The following is a 19,332-nucleotide window of genomic DNA, read 5'->3' as shown; positions in this document are numbered from 1 at the left end:
AAAAAAAAAAAATAGAAAAGAAAAAGAAAGAGAGAAAGAAAGAAAGAAAGAAGATCTATTTTGTATTTCAAGCTAGTAAAGCAGGATTTTTCATTTTTTTTTTAATTTTTTTTTTGAGATGGGGTTTTGTTCTTGTTGCCCAGGCTGGAGTACAATGGCACAGTTTCAGCTCACTGCAACCTCTGCCTCACGGATTCAAGTGATTCTCCTGCCTCAGCCTCTCAAGTAGCTGAGATTACAGGCACCCACCACCACACCCAGCTAATTTTTGTATTTTTAGTAGAGATGGGGTTTTACCATGTTGGCCAGGCTGGTCTCGAACTCCTGACCTCAGGTGATCTGCCCACCTTGGCCTCCCAAAGTGCTGGGATTACAGATGTGAGCCACTGCGCCTGTCCAAAGCAGGATATATTTAGTTTTACTTGGATTCTCTTTTTCCTTTGGGTTAGAAATTCAGTCTTATAATTTCAACAGTTTTAGTTCTCCATTGAAACTTACTTGAAAATCTACATCTCAATTATCTGTGACCATTTTCAATAAGTTATCAGGCTTCTGGCATAAAAGTTGGGAGATGTTCACCCTTCTGAAACATGCAATAATCGTGAGTAGCTGTAGGTTTTTTGAATTAAAAAAAAAAAAAAACAATTTTGGCATAGATAGGGAAGACACAATACAGGTTTAATCAAAGTAATAGAACTAGTATCTAAAACTTTTCCCCTTGAAAACCTTGCCATTCCACAAAAAGAGTTGCCAGCTAGAATTAATAAAAAGTACAGTACTATTTTGGAAAACTGTATATTATTTTTCATTTGCAAGGAAATGCCTAACCTGGTAGAATGTAGAACTTTGTGTCAATTATCTTCTTAATTTCAAAAAGGGTTTAAGGCTACTAAAAATTCATGAAACACAAAAGGTGAAAAGAGAGGAAGCCAGTAGAAGAAGTAATACAATGACGTGAATTTTACTCTTCAGCAAGCCCCCAAGCCATTTTGGGGCCTCACCAGCAAAGACTCTGACTCAGCAGATGTCAAGTGGTGCCTGAGACTGTGTGCCCTTCTAGCAAGCGCTCAGGTGAGGCTGATGTTGCTGGAACCCAGACCACACTTTGAGAAGTTCTGTGCTGTGATAGTTAATTTTAGGTGTCTACTTGAGTGGATTAGGGGATAAATACCGAGAGACTTGCTAAAGCATTATTTTAGGGTGTGTCTGTGAGGGTGTCTCCAGAGGAGATTGGCATGTGAATCTGAGTAGATTAAGTGGGGAAGACCACCCTCAGTGTGGGTGGGCACCATCCAATTGGCTGGGGACCTGGACAGAGCAAAAACAAAGGACAGGCAAAATTGGTCTTTCTCTCCTGGAGCTCGATTTTAACCCCTTAACATTTCTTCTTTCCAGCTCTATGGCACAGTGATTCTCAGAAAATTCCTGAAGTAAAGCGGTAGCCTCATTTTCTTCCTGAAGGGCTGGCTGCAATGGGGGCTGTGGTGCAAGGCACAGCGGGAAGATAGCAAGCTGTGCAGGGTTCCATGTGTCTTTGCTGCTGTTTGGTTTTATATTTCAATCAGTCAGCTCTTCACCCATCCCCCTAGACTTAAACTACTATTTTAAAATGATCTGCTGGGTGAAGTGGCTCACGCCTGTAATCCCAGCATTTTGGGAGGCCGAGGTGGGTGGATCATCTGAGGTCAGGAGTTCAAGACCAGCCTGGCCAACATGGTGAAACCCCGTCTCTACTAAAATACAAAAATTAGCCAGGTGTGGTGGTGGGCACCTGTAATCCCAGCTACTTGGGAGGCTGAAGCAGGAGAATTGCTTGAACCCAGGAGGCAGAGGTTGCAGTGAGCCGAGATCGTGCCACTGCACTCCAGCCTAGGCAACAGAGTGAGATTCTGTCTCAAAAAAAAAAATTAAAATTAAAAACTTAACAAAAGATCCACATTTTGTTAAAATGCCAGTTATATTGGCTGAATATATTTTTGAGTAATTATTTTCCTAATTATTAAAATAAAACCTAATTGGTGCAGATAATCTAAAACAACCTAGAACATATGGAAAACACACATAAAAAATGACATTTCACCAACCTAAAGACATTACTGTTAATATTTGGTATAGTGCTCTTTAGTATCTTTTCAATGTATGTTACAGGGTTGAGACCGTACTGCATCTATTAAATAGTTTTTCCTCAATAGGATTTCATAATCTTTTTTTTTTTTTTTTAATGGAGTCTTGCTCTGTCACCAGGCTGGAGTGCAGTGGCACTATCTTGGCTCACTGCAACCTCTGCCTCCTGGGTTCAAGTGATTCCCCTGCCTCAGCTTCCTGAGTAGCTGAGACTACAGGTGTGTGCCACCATGCCTGGCTAATTTTTTTGTATTTTAGTAGTGACAGGGTTTCACCATATTGGTCAGGATGGCCTTGATCTCCTGACCTGGTGATCCGCCTGCTTCGGCCTCCCAAAGTGCTGGGATTACAGGTGTGAGCCACTGTGCCTGGTCTTTTTTTTTTTTTTCATAATCATTTTCTACTAGAAGTAAATTTTCATAAACATTACTTATAATGACTGCATGATATTCCATAGTATGCAAATAGCATAATTTATTTAAACATTTCCCTATGGGGATTTAGGTTAATTCCTATAAAATAAATTACAACAAAGTTAATGTCACAGAATCCTCATCCTGAGGAATTCGCAGGCAGACTAAAGCCTCATCTTTTTAGGCAATAAATGAGGCTGAGAGTTACATAGTTTACTCTCTTTAGTGTCATAGATATAGTAATATACATTGAAATAATTGATCTATAGCTTCCTGAGAGAAAACCAAAACAATGGCATTAGGTTAGAAAATTGAAATTTAGGCCAGGTGCGGTGGCTCACACCTGTAATCCCAGCACTTTGGGAGGCCAAGGAGGGAGGATCACAAGGTCAGGAAATCGAGACCATCCTGGCTAACACGGTGAAACCCTGTCTCTACTAAAAATACAGAAAAATTAGCCGGGCATGGTGGTGGGCACCTGTAGTCCTAGCTACTTGGGAGGCTGAGGCAGGAGAATGGCGTGAACCCGGGAGGTGGAGCTTGCAGTTAACCAAGATTGCGCCGCTGTACTCCAGCCTGGGCGACAGAGCAAGACTATGTCTCAAAAAAAAAAAAAAAGAAAAAGGAAATTGTAATTTAATTTTATTTTTGCTTGGTTAGTATTGGAGGCACATTTCTGCCTCTCCCTCCTTCCCTCTTTCCTTCCTTTTTAAATCTGTGTGTTTCAGCTTTGTGAAACCTTTCTGGAATAAATCTAGTTTAGCTGGTCCTGGACCTCAGCTCCCTAGCTCCTTTCTTCCCAGGTATCCTTCTGCAGTAACAGTAGAAACATGTTGTCCAGGAAGGTGTTGACAAGACTGGCAGTGTCTCAGATCGGATAGCAAATTTTAACTCCTTTTAAAAATGATGCTGCAGTTATGAGGTCAGTGACTTATGAGCAAAGCTTGGATGTCTCAGGTATACAAAAGACACTGTTCCTTGTGTCAGGAAAGAACTGTTTGGATTAAATTAAATACAAAAAGAACCTCCTTCCAATATTCTTTTAAAATGTTTTCATGAATCACTATGTTAGCTTTTAAAAAGTGTTTGATAATTTTATAACATCCTTTTTAATGTGGCATCCAGTGTGGCTCTTCAGTCTAAAGAAATGTTACTATAATCATATAACTGTAGTTCTCAGATGCTTTATTTTCTGCTTAATAATATATGTGCTTATCATGTGACTGAGTATAGATCATATGAATATATTATGGCTTAAAACTCAGAATTTGAATTTCGTGGACTGTGCTAAAATTCAATAAAACTACATTTGGATGCAAGGGGGAAAGAGAAACATGTGGCTTGAATTTTCCTTAAAACACACAGGGAATAGTTAAAGGGGAAAAGTGCTTGGGACAGAGTATAGCTGAAGTTTTGCCAGACTCATACCATTTAAACAATGGTTTAAGACTGAATTAAAATCCCAAGCAGATCTCTTTAATCTCCCCCAAAGGATATAAGGTAGCTTTTCAACTTTGTAAGATAAAGTTAATGTAAATACTTCGAATGAGCAAAATGGGGAATGCTGGACTTGAAGAAATTGTTTTTGTCCTCTGGAATTCAAGGTCTTCCCAGCTACACTTGGATCCTCACTCTGCCTTTAAACCCAAAAGAGGTTAGCTTATCCCTGGCTTTTGCAACTATTTCTTTAGTTTTCCATTTTCAACGCTAACTCCACCCTGCTCTTGCACTCCCACACAGACTCACAGACACACAATCTGGTTAACACAAATACCTCTTCAAGTCCTTGCCACATCATCCAAGCCTGAACATGTCCCCAGGCTATCCTTTCTTCCCATTTCATAGTTAGATACAATGAAAAATGAAATGGCATTGGAATGAAATGGAATGAAAATGGCAATTTTGTCAGATGAATGGAATTTGAGGAGAATCAGTGGCTTTAATGATCAGTGTTGCTTCTCCTAAGGCACTCTATTTCCACACTCAGCTGGAGTCTTCCTGTACTAGTGCCAAGCAGGCAAATGTCACCTTTGAATCCCAGGAGGAGATGTGTTGATCAGCCTTCTAAACTGCTCAATGCAAAGATGCTTGGAATTCAGCAGTGCCACTTCCAGCTAACTGGCTCTGATTCCTATGGATGCAACTAGTCCTCCTCCCTGGCTGGACTAATGCCAGTCTACTTAAGGAGATAATTGACCACAAGCCAGCCTTTCTGACAGGCTTCCTAAGTGCCAGATGCCAACTGTGCCAGTCCCGGCCCTTATGGGAAGGCCTGTTCTCCTTGGGATGATAGCTAACGTAGCTTCATCCTAACCTTGGCCCTTAACTCTGTTCTCAACTTCCCTCCAAAATATAATCAAGTGGTTCATTCCAAGTTGTTTTCTTTCTACTTTTATTTTAAGAATATCAACACCACCCTCCTTCCTCATTGCTTCTCTTCGTCTTTCTCAGGGTTCACTTAAGTGGGATACAGGCTAAACAACTACAGCCTTTTCTATCATCCTGGAAACTAGGAGCATGACTTCATGTTGAGAGGGTTACCAAAATATCATCATTAATTTATTATTCCTCTTATACAGGTTTTAGTGGTTCTCTATAAACTTCCATTATTGCCAAACCAATACTTTGTCAATGGTTGGACCCCTATTAGCATATTTAAAATAAGCACCAAACTCGGCCCGGATGTCTTTGAGTGGATGTGTTTTGGCACTTGGATATATAGATATGATTCTGGTGACAGCAGTGAGCCTGGGCCTGGGGGGTCTCCCAGTCCTGGTATCCCAAAGGCCTGTCAAGACTATTCCTTGCTAGGTTCCCGGCTTGGCAACGCCGGTAGTAGGTGCTACTGGGGATGAAGCCCTCACAATACAGTTAGGGTTCAAGGAACCCAGGCGCCATCTTAATGAAGAAGGGTCTTCAGGGCGGTGTCCAGGGCCTTAATTGGGGTCTCCCTTGGGATCAGGGCCTTGGCAGAAAAGCCCCGCCCCCTTGTTTATTTACACGAACCCCCCCCACCTTCTCCAGTCTCCACTTCGTTCACAGCTTCCTTTGTGAACCAAGGTTCCCTTCTGGATGAAAACTGTGCCTCCTCATCTCTGCTCTTTCTCTCCTTCTCCTTACTGTGAAAACCAAACCAAACCACTGTGTTTACCTCACTGATGCAGGAGGGGGTTCCACGGCAGGGGCTGGGTGCCGGGAAGCTTCATGGCCCACAGCTTCCTCTCTTTCTGGAGAGGCTGACCCTTGAGCCAGCCCACCCGGCGCCGCAGGTCGCTTTGGGCCTCACCTCTCTCCTGAAAGCAGGACCGAGGGCACCCCTAAAAAGCACACTGGGCCTTTCAGGCAGGTGAGAAAGAGAGAGGAGGTGCTTTGAAGAAACCCCTGGGATCCCAGGCCCTTCTTCTGGCCGGGTAACTCGCTGCTGCTAAACTAGGTTGGGGCCGGGGCTTCAGATCACCTGGAGATGGACAAGGAAGCCAGACCCCAAAGTTCCCCCAGATTTATAACTCCCGTGTCAGGGTCCCCTCCGCCTTCTTTCTTTTCTCTTTCAATAGTCCCAGAATAACAGAGAGGAAAACCTCACAGGAAACGTGGCAGTCTCAAGCTGGAAGAATGGGATATACTCCCGAATTGTTTGAGCCCCCAAAACAAAACTTCTGGCCTAAGAAATGTCTCCCAGGCGAAGTCAAAACTTTGAGGCACGCCGCAATGGGATTTGTAAATAAGGGATTCGTTGAAACACCTAGTTTTAAGATGTAACCTAACTTCCTCCCCATTCCTGCCCCTGCCATTGTCATTCTGTGCATGGGTGGTCTTTTGGCTTTTTATTTTATTCTGATGAAAGGTCAGAGGTGACTTTCGTTGGCCTGGCTGGGCACACGGAAGCTGGTTCAAAGTAGACCTGTGCTAAAGGGTGGAGGGCGGAGGCCGGGACGCGGCTTCCCAGGCCCCAGCGGAGGCGCCGCACCCTGCCGGGGCCTCCTGGCCCACTCCCAGAGCAGCTCTGCAGCAGCCGCTGCCCAAGGGTTCCCTTCCCGCAGCTCGAGCAGCTTGGCCGCCGGCTTTCACCCACCAAGAACTCTGCGGTCCCAGGCCCCAGGCTGTGGCCTCCCGCGAGGCGCGGTGTCGGCGCGCAACAGGTCTTCTAGGCGGCGGTGGCTGGGCGCGCTTGCCTAGTTGATGCGGCAGCGGCAGTGTCCCGGCGCCAACCCGGCTGCCTCCGTCCAGGACCGCAGACTTAAGGGGGCGCCGTCGGGCACCCACCCCGCTGACACCGAGTTCCTGGCCTTAGATGGTAGTCGAGGACCTCAAAATGGGAGAGAGGTGACGGATAGTGGTGACAGGAAAAACGCACTGTTGCGGGTTTTTGCTAATTCAGTCTCTACCATGGTGGTGGACTTAAGTTCAATTAGGAAACGGACATATTAAAAATAGGTGGTGGCCGGGCGTGATGGCTCACGCCTGTAATCCTAGCACTTTGGGAGGCCCAGATGGGACGATTGTTTGAGATCGGAAGTTCGAGACCAGCCTGGTAAACATAGTGGGATCTTGTCTCTAAAATACTACTACTAATAATAATAGATAGTAAAAGAGATGATTGTGCCAAAGGCTGAAAGGAGCAATGAAGGAAATCGGTGCTTACTGGTGGCTCGCCCGTGTACTCACCCCTTTGAAGTTCTGAAGTTAAGAAATAAGAGGGAGGGGAAGGATTTGCAAAGTACCCTAACCTAACTGTGGGCACTCAAACCACGGCCTCATCCTTGGAGAACTGAAACACCTTCACACGGGGCTAGCATAGATATCCAGAGAGAAGCTTTAATAGAGAACACCGCGTACAACACCAGCAGACATAAACAAAGTCACAACCCGAACGCGGCGCGGACAAGAGGCGGAGGTGACTTAGAGCCAAAGGGCAAAGCGGATTTCTCCCCACTCTGCCCCCCTCCATTCCCAAAATTGTGTCGCGAGTAAAGTGCTATTCCCTGGGGCTCAAGAGGGGGGAAGGGCAAGAGCGACAAGGCAAGTTTCTTTCCCATTCACGAATTGAAACTGAAGAATTAATTCGCCTGAAAGACATAAGCGCTCAAACAGCACACGGAATACAAAAACAGCCGCAGCGTGCAAAGGTGACTGGGTGGTCCCCTTGCTTCCGTCCGAGGAGACTGGAAGGGAACAGCCATGGAACGTTTCTGCAAGCGTTAAGAGCAATATTGTCGAGTGATGTGCCGAGTTTTTCCTGCATTCGTAAGTTAGGGAAACAAAATCCCGCTATACAAGTGATTTGTTTCCTTAAAATTCCAAATAGAAAGGATCGTGGGAATTCACATTATTCTTGGGCTCTCATCCGACTGATACCCAAACAAGTTGCAGGTGGAAAGTCGCCTGTATTGTCTCCCTTTGGTTGTGTTTCCCAACTTTTGGAATTTGGGGCTTTACCCTTTAAGCTGCTGCCATTCTCTTTTGTACAAACTAATTGCTCTAGAGGTTCCTCCTATCCTTCTTGACCCCCAGGTCAGAGCCAAGAACCTTAGCTGTTTCCCAAAGATATTTCGTGGGGTTCCCGCTGCCTCCTCTCCTCCCCTTCCCCCTCCAAAGCGACTTTATTCATGACACCGTTTCCTTGCCCATTTAGCTGACTAGGAAAATAACGGTATCAAACGCTTCCTCTTTTCCTTCTTAAATAAAACGAAATTTCCTTAGTGGACGGCAGTTTTGTCTTGAATGTTCACGAGAGGCGACCGCCGAGGATGCGACCAGCAGAGAGAAACGTGGTGGCTGAGATCCGTTTCAGCGTCACTCTCTGTTGGATTCTTCGCGGGAGGTTTAGCTCTGCCAGCTTCTGCTCCCAGGAATAAGGGTCAGAATCGACTTCCAATTTACCAGCGAATGAGGCTTTCCTAACCTCCTTCGTTCCCTCCCCCCATAACTTATGGATTTATATTAATTACAATAGAAACTCTTACCTGAAAATTGGCTTTCATTAATCTGATTGTACAACATAGTATAAACACAGACACCAGGAAGGTTATATTTATTCAGACCACTGGAGAATCCACTTTTCGGGGTTGTTCGTCTATTTAAATACCTTCCGTTCCAGCAAAGGCTGAGACTCGCCAGCTCTGCCCGGCCTGACCAGGGCGCCCTCTCCCCGTCGGGTGGTTTGGGCGGTTCCGGGCCCGGCGTCTCTCACCCCGCTGGTCTCCCCACGCCCGCCGGGTCCCCTAGGAGTGCACTAGCACCGAGTGCAAGGAGCCGCCCTTGCTTTCGGCCGAGGTAGGGGCTGTGGGCTCCAGCAGAGAGGCAACGGGCGAGGCCGCGGCCGCGGAGCACACGGTGGATGGCGCCGGAGGCTGCTGCGAAGCCGCGGGGACAGTGAGCCCCGGCTGCAGCGCGGACACGGGCGGCAGCGCAGGCGTGGGCTTGATGGGCACCGGCATGGCAGGCAGGCTCTGGCTTGCCGAGTGGCACAGGGACTTGACCGGGACCCCGAAGGCCCCATACTCCGGGCCTACAGGGACTCCGGCTGCGGCTGCGGCGGCCGCGGCGGCGGCCACCGAATCCATGACGCCAACGTGCGGCCACACGGAGCTGACGACGTTGCCAAGCTGGCCGGGCACGGGGTAGCCCAGGTGGTGCATGACGGACGCCAAGGGCAGCCCTCCAGCCTGCAGCACGCCCTTGTAGTCCCGGCCAATAATGTTCTCAATGGCAAAGGGGTGCTTGAAGCCTGACGTGGACGCCGCGGCCGCGGCGGCAGCGGCGGCGGCCGAGCCCAGCCCGTAGGGTGGGAACTGAGACAGGCGTCCCACGCTGCCCACCGCGGCTGCCGCGGCCGCCGCCGCCGCCGCCGCCACGGCCGCCGCCTCCTGCATCTTGCCGGGGTGAGACGGCTGCTGAGGCTGCGACTGCTGGGGCGGTTGCTGCGGGGGCTGTGACGGGAGGTGCGGAGGCGGCTGCGGAGCAGTAGGCGGTTGCTGATGGAAATAGTGTACCATGTGCGGCGGCGGCGGGGGCGGCGGCGGCGGCGGCTGGGGTGGGTGGTGGTGATGGTGGTGGTGTGCGGCAGCGTGGTGATGATGGTGGTGGTGGGGGTGGTGGTGGTGATGGGGGTGAAGGTGCCCTCCCGGACCGGCGCCCGGCGCGCTCTTGGTGCTTCCCGCGTGCAAGTGAGTATGGTCGGCGCGCAGCACCTTGAAGCGCTTGCGACGCCGCAGGAAGCTGCCGTTCTCGAACATGTCCCCGCAGTCGGGGTGCAGCGCCCAGAAGCTACCCTTGCCAGGCTGGTCGGGCCTCCGCGGAATCTTGATGAAGCAGTCGTTGAAGGAGAGGTTGTGGCGCAGGCTGTTCTGCCAGCGCTGTGTGTGCTCGCGGTAGTAGGGGAAGCGCTCCATGATGAACTTGTAGATGTCGCTCAGCGGCAGCATCTTCTCGGCCGAGTGCTGGATTGCCATGGCGGTCAGCGAGATGTAAGAGTAGGGCGGTTTTTGGTCGCTGTACGAGCTCTTCCCCGGCCGCGGCATCGCCCCCGGCTCCTCCACCGCCCTCCGGCCCGCACTGGACCACAGAATCTCTCCGCACTCCGTTCCTGGGGCCTGGCTGCCCCCACTAATTCCCACTCGGCCCCTCCAGTCCCGCCACTTTGCCCTCTCGCCCTCCAGGCCCTCTCTGCTTCTCTCTCCTGCCTTCTCCGAATTGCCTGGTGTCTCCGACCTTGGCCTTTCGGGCCTACTCAGCTCTCGGAAGCTGGCAACTTCTGGCCCCGACGGTTGCCGACTGGCGCGCACAGTCGCGGGCGGAGTGCACCAGGTTTACCGCCGCCTTCTCTGCGTCTTCCCCCGGGTGGCCAAAGACTGAGTGCTGGAGCTGGCTGCAGAGGAGAGTGGCAAGGGGCCGTGTTTCCTCCCGGCCTCTTTGCTTTTTCTAGGTCCGAGGGAAACCCAGACCAAGATGGCTGGGAGGAAGGTCTGGGCAGTAGAGACTCTGGCCCTTTAAATCTGAGTTTGCGCCTGCTGTCCTGGAGGCCAGTGACAGCAGGACTTCCAGTGCCCTGGACGCAGGCCCCTGGCCAGGCACTTAGCCAGACCGCGCTGGAGTTCTCCTTTTCCTGGAGTGAAAAATCAGGGTAAGGAGAGAGAAGATTGGCTTCTAGGGCGCCTCTCTTTTCTCCGAGGCTCGCAGCGTCGCCGGGGTTAGAAGAGACGCGCAGCCCTAGGCTGTCGCTGAGGAGAAAAAACTTTGGTGGTTTCTGAAGCGGCAGCGCCCGCAGGTTCTGCTGAGGAGTGTGGGGCGCAGGACTCTGGGAGCGAGCGGCGGGCTGGAGAGGGCGTCTGCGAATGCTGGGTGAGTGCTGGCCGGGGAGGCTCAGCCGTCCGCGCCGCAGCTGCCGCCTTTCTCCCGGGCTTGTCTTGAGGAGGAGAGGCGACGGCAGTGGCAGCGACGCGCTCTCCTGGCTGCGTTTTGTAATGGTCCCCGAGACGCCGAGACCCCCGCAGCTAGCGCTTCGAGACTATCACATGACCGAGGCTGAGGGACTCAGCCGCCGCCGCCGCGTCTGTAGCTGAAGAAGGGGCAAGAAGGCGCCGTGCCTCGCCCCCGCCCCCTTTTCCACCTCGTTTCGGGCGCTCTCCACCCATCGCGTTCACCACTCGCTCGGCAGCCCCCAGCCACCTCCCGGTGCGGCGGGTGGCGCAGGCTGTTCGCCGGGAGGGGGCACAGCTCCGGGTGCATTTCCCGCAGCTGCGCCCCACCCGGGCCACCAAGCACGGTGGAGGGGGAACAGGACACTGCCTTCTTGCTTCTCTTCTCTCTGGCATCTCCCTCTTCCGCCCCCTTCCTTTTACCCTTCCCTGTTTTCATCTACTCGCTGTGAGCTTCTCTCTCCTTACAAACCCTTTTTCCTGGGCTAGACACTCTGGGTCAAGTTCAGAGTATCGTGTCCTCAAGGCCTCTTCTCTGCAAGAAACCCCGATGATTAGAGGGCTGGAGGGAAAAACTCATGGGGAAGAAAGCATGGGGTGTTTTCACCAAATGCCAAATTCATCTCAGTTTTATTGCGCGCCAACTGCATGTGAGGCACCAGGTGCAGGGAGACAGGAGACAGTATCCGAGCTCCACCATCGCGGTATAGAGGGTGAGACGAACAGTAACCAAGAAATTAATAGAATAGGCACTAAAGGGCTTGGCGAATGGAGGCTCCACCACACTTTCCTGGAGCGAGTGAGTTGGACAAGATGAGGTTTCTCTGGGATGGCGATGTCTGAGCTGGGGCCAGAAGTAAGAGTTGGGGATTCAGGGGTCCCATCACCTGTGTGTGCTGGAAGGAAATCTTTGCTATTCTTAGCACGGTGGTGTGGGGCCAGGGCGAGGCAGGAGGTGGAATGGAAATAATTAAATAGGAAGCAAAAATTATCAGTCCACAGGATCCTGGTGTGATCTGCGAGGGAGAGGTGGATGAACCCAGGAGTGAGGTCCTTCTGCTTGGAGGTTCCTGCTCTGCACTCATCCAAACACCCAGCAGGAAACCCCAGTTTACTGCAGGGAGAACCTGAAGTTGTATACTCGTTTTGGCTACCTTTGCCCTTCAGCTGGGAGGAAAAGCAGAGTTTAGAAACAAGTATACTCTCCGTCTCTGGGACTGTTTCATTATTTGTAAAATAGGGTGGCTGAAGTTGGAAATTCACGGGTCCTTTCCCGTTAGGCGATTTGAGGAGAAAGGAGCATTTGGACACTATGGCTCCCTCGGTTTTCCCACGCCTAACCTGGAAGAAAGCCATCGGCCCAGCTGCTTGGGGGGCTGCCCCCTAACTAGCAACCTTGGTGACACCAGATCGGGTGTTTTCAGCTTCTGGCTTTTGGTGAGCTGGACGGTGGGAGCACGTCTGTCCGTGGGGTGGCTTAGCCAGGTCGCAGGAGTGCCGTGAGCGGGTCAGGCCCGTAATTTCCATCTTTAGTCAGGAGCTAGATTTCTGGCTAGCTCTATGTGGCCAGTTTGTCCTAGGCCAGAAGACGTCTGAGAATAGATGTTACGACTGAAGCTTGCAAGAAGGCCCGGGGAAAAGAGCAGCTTCTTGGTCCTAAGCCCTTTTCAAAGTAAGATGTTTTCTCTTTCACTGTATGTCGGAAGCTTTCCTCCTGCCATAGGAGTTTCTGCGCGATTTTTGTCCGCTGAGACACTTGAGAGAGCCGAGCAGCGGACAGCCTCTTGGCCTCGGGAAGCCACAGAATTCCAAGGACGCTCACAGTTTGACAAGAGCCTGCTGGAGCCAGGTGGCTCCTTTTCCTTGGAACAAGACCGTGAGACAACAGCCCTGTCCCAGCCCAGGAAGCTGGGGTCTCCTGCACCGCTGTCAGGCCGCTGCTGAGGAGCTCTGCGTGCCGCACACTTAAGGGCTCTCCGGACTTCGACCCCACACGCAGCTCGAGCAAAGGGATCTTTTGTTGATACCTCGGATAGCATCCCTTCCGCGGGTTGCTGGAACAGCAGAGTCTCCTTTTGGGGAGCAGCTCTGGGACCGTGCCCGTTGGGCACTTGCGGCTCCTGGGAACCGATCGAGGGGAGGGGCCCTTCAGGGACTCCCGGGACAAATCTTGGGCGCATAACGCGAACCCTGAGCACAAAAAATGAGCCAGGCCCTCACTGGGTGAGCTCGCTACAGCCCGCAGACCCGCCGCCACAACCTCAGGTTCAGCGCCAGGGGACGCCAGGGGCTTGGCCAGTGTCTTCGGCCTCGGCGAGCCAGGTTCCACGCAACCTGGGACAAAACAGTCTCGGAGGCTGAGCGAAGCGCCCCGAGCCTCACGCTTCCGCATTCAGGTTGTGCTTGGCGAGGGTAGAAAGTACTTCCCACCACCTAGGCCACAGCCGGACGCGGCGGCCCAGGCCGCAATTGCTGCCTAGAGCGCAGACAGGGAGCTCGGGTCGCGTGTCTGTTTTGGAGAGTGGCGGGCTGCGGCCGCCGCGGAGGATCCTGGGGGATTCCAAGCGCGGCACTGGGCCGGGGTGCAGAGCTGGGGCCGCGGTGGGGAGGGGGGCGCGCTCTCCTCTTCCCCTACTTCCCCGGAGGTTAATTCCGACAAGTTTTGCAGGCGCTCAGTGGCACCGGCGGGGGCCGGAACGCGCGCGCTCCAGCTGCCTGCAGACCCCCTCTCAAGAAAAACAGATCGTGTAACCACCCTGGCACCAACCAGTCGGTTTCAAGTTTCCGCGAGTAATTTTTTTTTGTTGTTTTTAAACAACTACTGCACTATCCAAATATTGGCTGGCGCTCAGGACGCTGGCAGGCAAATCATTGCCCCGGGCTTAGTGTAATTATCTCAGGCGTATTTGGTTTACCCCTTAGGCAATTGTTGGCGACGCTATGCTAGGAAGAGGGGTTCCATGCAAGCTTTTATTGCGTTTAATTGGCTCTATGGAGGGGAGTAAAAAAAGATGTGGAACTTTAGGAGCGGTTATTTATTCATTCTTTCTCCTCCATGCCCCCAGCCCCTGGAGGGTCTCACGCGCTCCTTGGGCTGGATCTAGGCCAGGCCTTCCCACGGCTTCTGCGGACAGCTGTGCCCAGGGCGAGGAGGAACACAAGTTACCGATAGGGCTAGGACGACGTACAGCGCTAGAAAAAAGGCAAAGGTTTAGGCGCACATCTCAATTTCCATGGGTTCTCCCTTTACGCACTGACTTAGCTGACGTGCGGAAGGTTGCCTGGGTTAGTTACGTTTGGGGTCCTCCCAGGAGCCTTCCTGGTCACGCTAGCCTGGCACTTGCCTGACCTTCGGCTGACTTCTCGGCGCATACTTTTCCCAGACGAAACTCCTAAAGTGGATTTGAAGAGGGTAGGAGAAAGCCAGCCCCAGGACTCGGAAACGTGGCTTCCAGCTCGAGTCCAGGCCTGGATGACCCTGGAGGCATCATTTCACCGCTTTGGGCTTCTTTTTCTTTCCAGGAAATACTCAGTAGTCAGAACTGCGCCTTCGAAGGCTCCAAGGAGTTGAGGTTTGAAGCTGTGATCTCGACGGTGGAGTGGCGCTGGGGGTCTGGGCGCTCGGAGCGGGGAGCTCAGGAGCTGCGCAGCTGGGGACGCTGCAGGGCAGCAGCGCCACCCGTCAACCCCTTATAACGTTTTAGGAATCCGTCGCCTCCAGCGTCACCAACCCGACCTGACATCTCTGCGAAGTGCATCCCTGCCCCGTTTCCGACCCGTCCAGTCCCCGCGCCTTGCCCGGCAGGCGCCCAGGACACAGGTTTGGCTCCGCCCTACTTGGATTTGAGTGCATAAGCTCGATTTGACTTTTCGGAATGCCCGAGGGTGGAGGGCAGAAGGGAAAAGCCTGAGGTCAGGGGCATTTATTTCTTGGAGAAAAAAAGCACTGGCCTTGAATTTAGGAGACGATACTCGAGCTCCAGCTTCGCCACCTACTGGCTGTGCGACTGCCTCTTCTCTGAGCCTCAGTTTCCTTTTCTCTAAAGTGGCGATGACCCTGTTGCCTTAAAAGTGCGATTCTGAGACGTGGGATTTTGAGAGTGACTGCTGGAATACTTTGATCCAGTAAACCTCTATCAAGAGCCTACTGTGTGCCAAGCGTCAGAAAACGCCTTGTAAAGTGTGAAGCATTGTAAATACATAAGATGCTATTATCGTTTTTGCTGTTAGAAGTCATCATCTTTTCCTTCCTCCAAATCTAATTGTACCTAAGAAGAGCTCGACAAAATGAAGCCCGACGGCGGTACATGAGCGGGTGGATGTATCTGGCGTTGGAGTGGTCAGCCGCGGGGTGCACACGGCTTTCTCTCGCAGTGCCACCGGCCAAGAAAGACAGCCCAGCTTTCGTCCCCCAAAGTTTCTAGCACCTCCGCTCGCGGGCGAGACTGGCTGGGTTGTCTGAGCCGTAGGTGTGCGAGTTTGAGGGAAGGAGGATACAAGGGGGTCCAGCCAGCAGCGGAGAGCCAGGGGATAGCGCCGGGCCGCGCAGGCTCAGGGTTGCCGTGCCAGCGTCGCTCCACCTCGACATTGACCCCAGGCTCTCGTCTGACCGAAACTCACTCCGCAAAGACCCTACGTGCTGCCCAGAGTCAGAAACCTGACTTTTAAATCTCCACTCTTCGAGGCGAGATTCGTCTCGAACACCGCGGCTGTGTACACTGCCTGTGGCCCGGGGCGCGCAATCAGCGTGGAGATGGGAAGCGTTTGTGTCACCCTAGCAGAGCAATTTCCCCTTTACAGTCCACCCGCGCCTCACACCTCTTGGCCAACATCCAGAAGCTTTCCTACGGGCCGTGTCTGTTTAGGTAGCGGCCACTGACAACCATAACCACCAAATAAATAACCAACGATTAAAAATTAAATAACTTTCTTGCGCTCCCTCCGACGACTAATAACAAAGACTCCGCACATCAGCAACCAGGTGTCGCGGTTAAACTCCTGACAGTAACTGTCTTCCTTTTCAGCCAGCCAGTTCTGGAATACATTACATTAATTAAGTCTTTGGTGATTTAGCCTCCTTGGAGAGAAGTCCAACAATGTAATTAAGAGCATACTGGCTATATTAGATATGAATATTCAAAACAGTGTCAATTAATTAGCCAACAGATCTAGCTCACTATGCTTCGAAAGCCCCTGAAGTCCTCTAAGATACATTTAAAGGGTCATCGGCGGGGAAAGGAGAGGGGGGTAAAGAATATTAAAGAGGTGGGTCCAGATGATCTCTTCGTTCCACATAAACATTTTCTAATGATGGCGATTTATAACGTCCCTGACATCACATACCGCACCTTTGGGCACGTGGGTGCCCGCCCATGTCTGTGTGTGTCTGGTGGTGGTGGTGGAGTTGGGGGGGCGGGGCGGATGTTGTTGATCCATCAGAGCAAAGATCTTTTATAATTAAAGTGAGGAGGCATCCAACTGGAAGGGCCTTCTTAGAGGCACCAAGAGGCTATCCATTGTACATCCTCTCAGACATGTTAGAAAGATAAATATTAAATCTGCTATCACAAAGGGAGCTGTTAAATAGATACTAAGCTGATATGCATAAAAAATTAATTAGGTAGTTTTCTCAGCATCAAACTCCTGGACAAATAACTACTTGTAAAGTACACCTTCTGGGCATATTGAACATATGCTGGAATTATCCTTAATTGACTAATTACATAAATTACTCATTAATTTTACAGCACATCAATTATAAAAGATATATCAATTAATTTTGCATAAATTAAGACTGGAATCTCCCTCCCCCCAAAAAACACAAGAGAGAGGCTGCTGTAACAAAATATGCAGAGAGGGGAGAAAAACAATGTTTGTGTATTTGTAGATTGCAATAATAATTTGTTCTGCTCTGGGCAGAGATTTTCTTAAGGAAAAACATCCTTGGCAATTAAAATAGTCCTAAAGACCACTTACGATGTGATCATGCGTGCACCAAGGCGAAACAGACCATTTAAATCAATTAGGACTGCTCTGATGGAAAATGAGGGCCTGGCAATGACAAAGTACTCAGACATTAGTAATCACAAATGATTTAACATCCACATTAAATGCCTGACTGGGTAGTAAGGCTTATTTTCCTAAGTCAGCAGGGTGCCCGTAACGAAGTTATCTCTGGGTATCCCAAAGTAGACTTCGGCAACGATTTCACACACAATTGGTGGAAATTAATTTGACACCTCTCTTCAACCTAACTCCTCCAGCCTGCTCGTTTCGGGCTCTCCTAAGCGGCTGTTGGCCTCCTCACCTCCTCCCTCGTTTCCTTAAAAAGGTCATTAAATGCTTCGTCACGAGCCCAGCCGTGGGGCCCTGCTCCTTCTGTTTTGGGTTTCTCCTCCCCTGGTGGGACTGGCGGCTTTCAGAATACAGACTGTGTCTCGGCCTAGGCTAGCGGGTCGAGAAGGTGATTTCCAAGGGGTGAGCAAAGTCTGAGACCCCCGGCTCCTTGACTCTTCCTGGCCCGCCCTCCGCAGTCTGCCAGGCTGAGGCTGAAAACACGAGTTTCCAGAAAGGCTTTAGGCAGGCTGCGGGCGCCGGGAGGGAAGCCGGGAGACCGCTGCGCCCGCTGCGCCCGCTGCACTTTGGCAACGAGGCCTGCGTGATTTTAGTCAGCAGGGGGCGCTGTCTCCCCTGGTCGCCGCCTTAGAGAGGAAGCCGCCTTCGGTGCGGGTTTTCTCCGCACAGCGATGGAGGTGGAGAGATGTGAGTTTCCTGGGGTAGCGGCACTTCTAGAAATGCCAGGCTATGGTTCACTGGTTTCCCTTCTGTGTGAAAACCCCAATCTACCTTGATTTGTGCCAACCATCTGTAATGCTTTTCATAGATAACTTTAGACAACATCAAATCAAACGGTACTTGAAATACATCCCAAATTTCCTCTTGGAAGTTGTGAACTTCGAAGTTGCACCTACAAATATAGAGGTGCTTTTCCAAAAGAAACAAAAACTTCCTTGAAAGGAATCCGTAGTCATTATTTAATGCCAGCCCCACGTGTGTATTGATAATTATTGACAATAGAAATATAGAATTTTCTATGTTGTTAAGAAGCCTTTCAACGATATAAGTGGGAGATTCAAGTTATATAGAATCATATGGTTCAAAAATTTTGTTTTTATATTCTTTTAAGTATTTTGTATTCATAGTGATCATTCATAACTCTGAAGTAAAATAAATCAGAATGACAGACAACTGGATGTTGGAGAAACAGAAAGGTTTTACTTTCAAGAGATGCCTAGTTTGGTGGATAGTAAGTTTATGATCAGCAGATTCCCAATCCCACACTCATAAATTGGTTGTGTTAAAAATACTTTGTTTTAAAACCACTATGTATTTCACTCAAAGTGAAATTTCCCCTAGGAATAATACTGTAACTGGTAGATAGGATCCCAGCTAGTTGGTACTGTTCCGCTTTAAGTCCTGTTAAACCAGTAATGTATCTAAAAATTTGAATTTCTCCTTTGAGACTGATCACAACCCTAAAAGGTCCTTTTCTTATCCCCTTCTGTTGCTAGTCTCCAAAGATACTGGCTCCCACCCCCATATTGGACCATGCCTTCTGGAATTCATGCCCTTGTGCAGTTTCTTCTCATATTAAATCTGACCCAGTCCCATGGGAACAAGTAGCATGTGGCAGAAGTGGTGCAGTATGATTTCAAGCCAAATCAGAAGGACCCTTGCAGCTTTTGCCTTGCCCTTTTAAAACACACACTCTGGGGTGGTGGTGGGGATTGGGGGGTGGGGGGGCAGTGCCAGCCAACAGGTAAGAAGTCCTACGGCTCACACTGTGAGGAAATCCAGTTTAGCCAAGGAGAGAGAGAGAGAGAGCTTGGCGGGGGAGAGAGAGAGAGAGCGCGCACTCTTGGAGAGAGAGAGATGCCTGATCAGCCACCAGCTCTGCCAACCATCCCAAGTGAGATGTCATATGTGGTGAGTAAAGGAACTGTCCTGGATGTCCAGTCCAGTTAACTTCTAGATAATTTCAGCCTCAGTTCTACCTGACTGCAACTGCATGAGAGACCTTAGTCAATAACCTCCCTGCTGAGCTCAGTCAATCTACAGAAACGCATGGGCTAACAAACCATTGCTGTTCAGGCATTATGTTTAGGTGTGATTTATTACACAGCAGTAGATAACCAGAACATACATTGTCCTGTCTCCCATTCTTTTTCCTATACTATTTTTTCTTGAATCTTATTTCTGCTACAGTTTGAATCTGGCTACTCATGTGAGCTAGCCTGGGAATCTGAACACTAGTTAGAATATCGAGGCTGGGATTGTGTGCCAAAGAGATTGGCAAGGAGAGTAGATGAAGGAGACTG

At 50.4% G+C, this 19,332-nt stretch overlaps 1 protein-coding gene across 1 annotated transcript, besides 3 other annotated features; it reads right to left on the bottom strand.

Moving 5' to 3' along the window:
* Nucleotides 1–8,758: 8,758 nt before the first annotated feature.
* FOXB2 (forkhead box B2) lies at nucleotides 8,759–10,057 on the bottom strand. The gene has a single exon (NM_001013735.1). It carries the CDS (start codon nucleotides 10,055–10,057, stop codon nucleotides 8,759–8,761), a length of 1,299 nt encoding a protein of 432 aa, NP_001013757.1.
* Nucleotides 15,010–15,523: an enhancer, noted in NCBI's record as "H3K4me1 hESC enhancer chr9:79629105-79629618 (GRCh37/hg19 assembly coordinates)". NCBI's record gives its function as "activates a minimal SCP1, AML or CMV promoter by ChIP-STARR-seq in primed H9 embryonic stem cells {active_cell/tissue: H9 hESC(primed)}" and the evidence as "EXISTENCE:reporter gene assay evidence [ECO:0000049][PMID:30033119]".
* Nucleotides 17,005–17,505: an enhancer, noted in NCBI's record as "H3K4me1 hESC enhancer chr9:79627123-79627623 (GRCh37/hg19 assembly coordinates)". NCBI's record gives its function as "activates a minimal SCP1, AML or CMV promoter by ChIP-STARR-seq in primed H9 embryonic stem cells {active_cell/tissue: H9 hESC(primed)}" and the evidence as "EXISTENCE:reporter gene assay evidence [ECO:0000049][PMID:30033119]".
* Nucleotides 17,506–18,006: an enhancer, noted in NCBI's record as "H3K4me1 hESC enhancer chr9:79626622-79627122 (GRCh37/hg19 assembly coordinates)". NCBI's record gives its function as "activates a minimal SCP1, AML or CMV promoter by ChIP-STARR-seq in primed H9 embryonic stem cells {active_cell/tissue: H9 hESC(primed)}" and the evidence as "EXISTENCE:reporter gene assay evidence [ECO:0000049][PMID:30033119]".

The sequence above is a fragment of the Homo sapiens genome, chromosome 9 (genome assembly GCF_000001405.40).
Source record: "Homo sapiens chromosome 9, GRCh38.p14 Primary Assembly".
Classification (NCBI taxonomy): Eukaryota; Metazoa; Chordata; class Mammalia; order Primates; family Hominidae; genus Homo; species Homo sapiens.
Note: the sequence above shows the minus strand (reverse complement) of the source record. Positions and strands in the feature narration are given on the sequence as shown.

Excerpts from the sequence above, each read along its gene's own strand:
- FOXB2 (NM_001013735.1), bottom strand. The coding sequence starts at position 10,057 with ATGCCGCGGCCGGGGAAGAGCTCGTACAGCGACCAAAAACCGCCCTAC.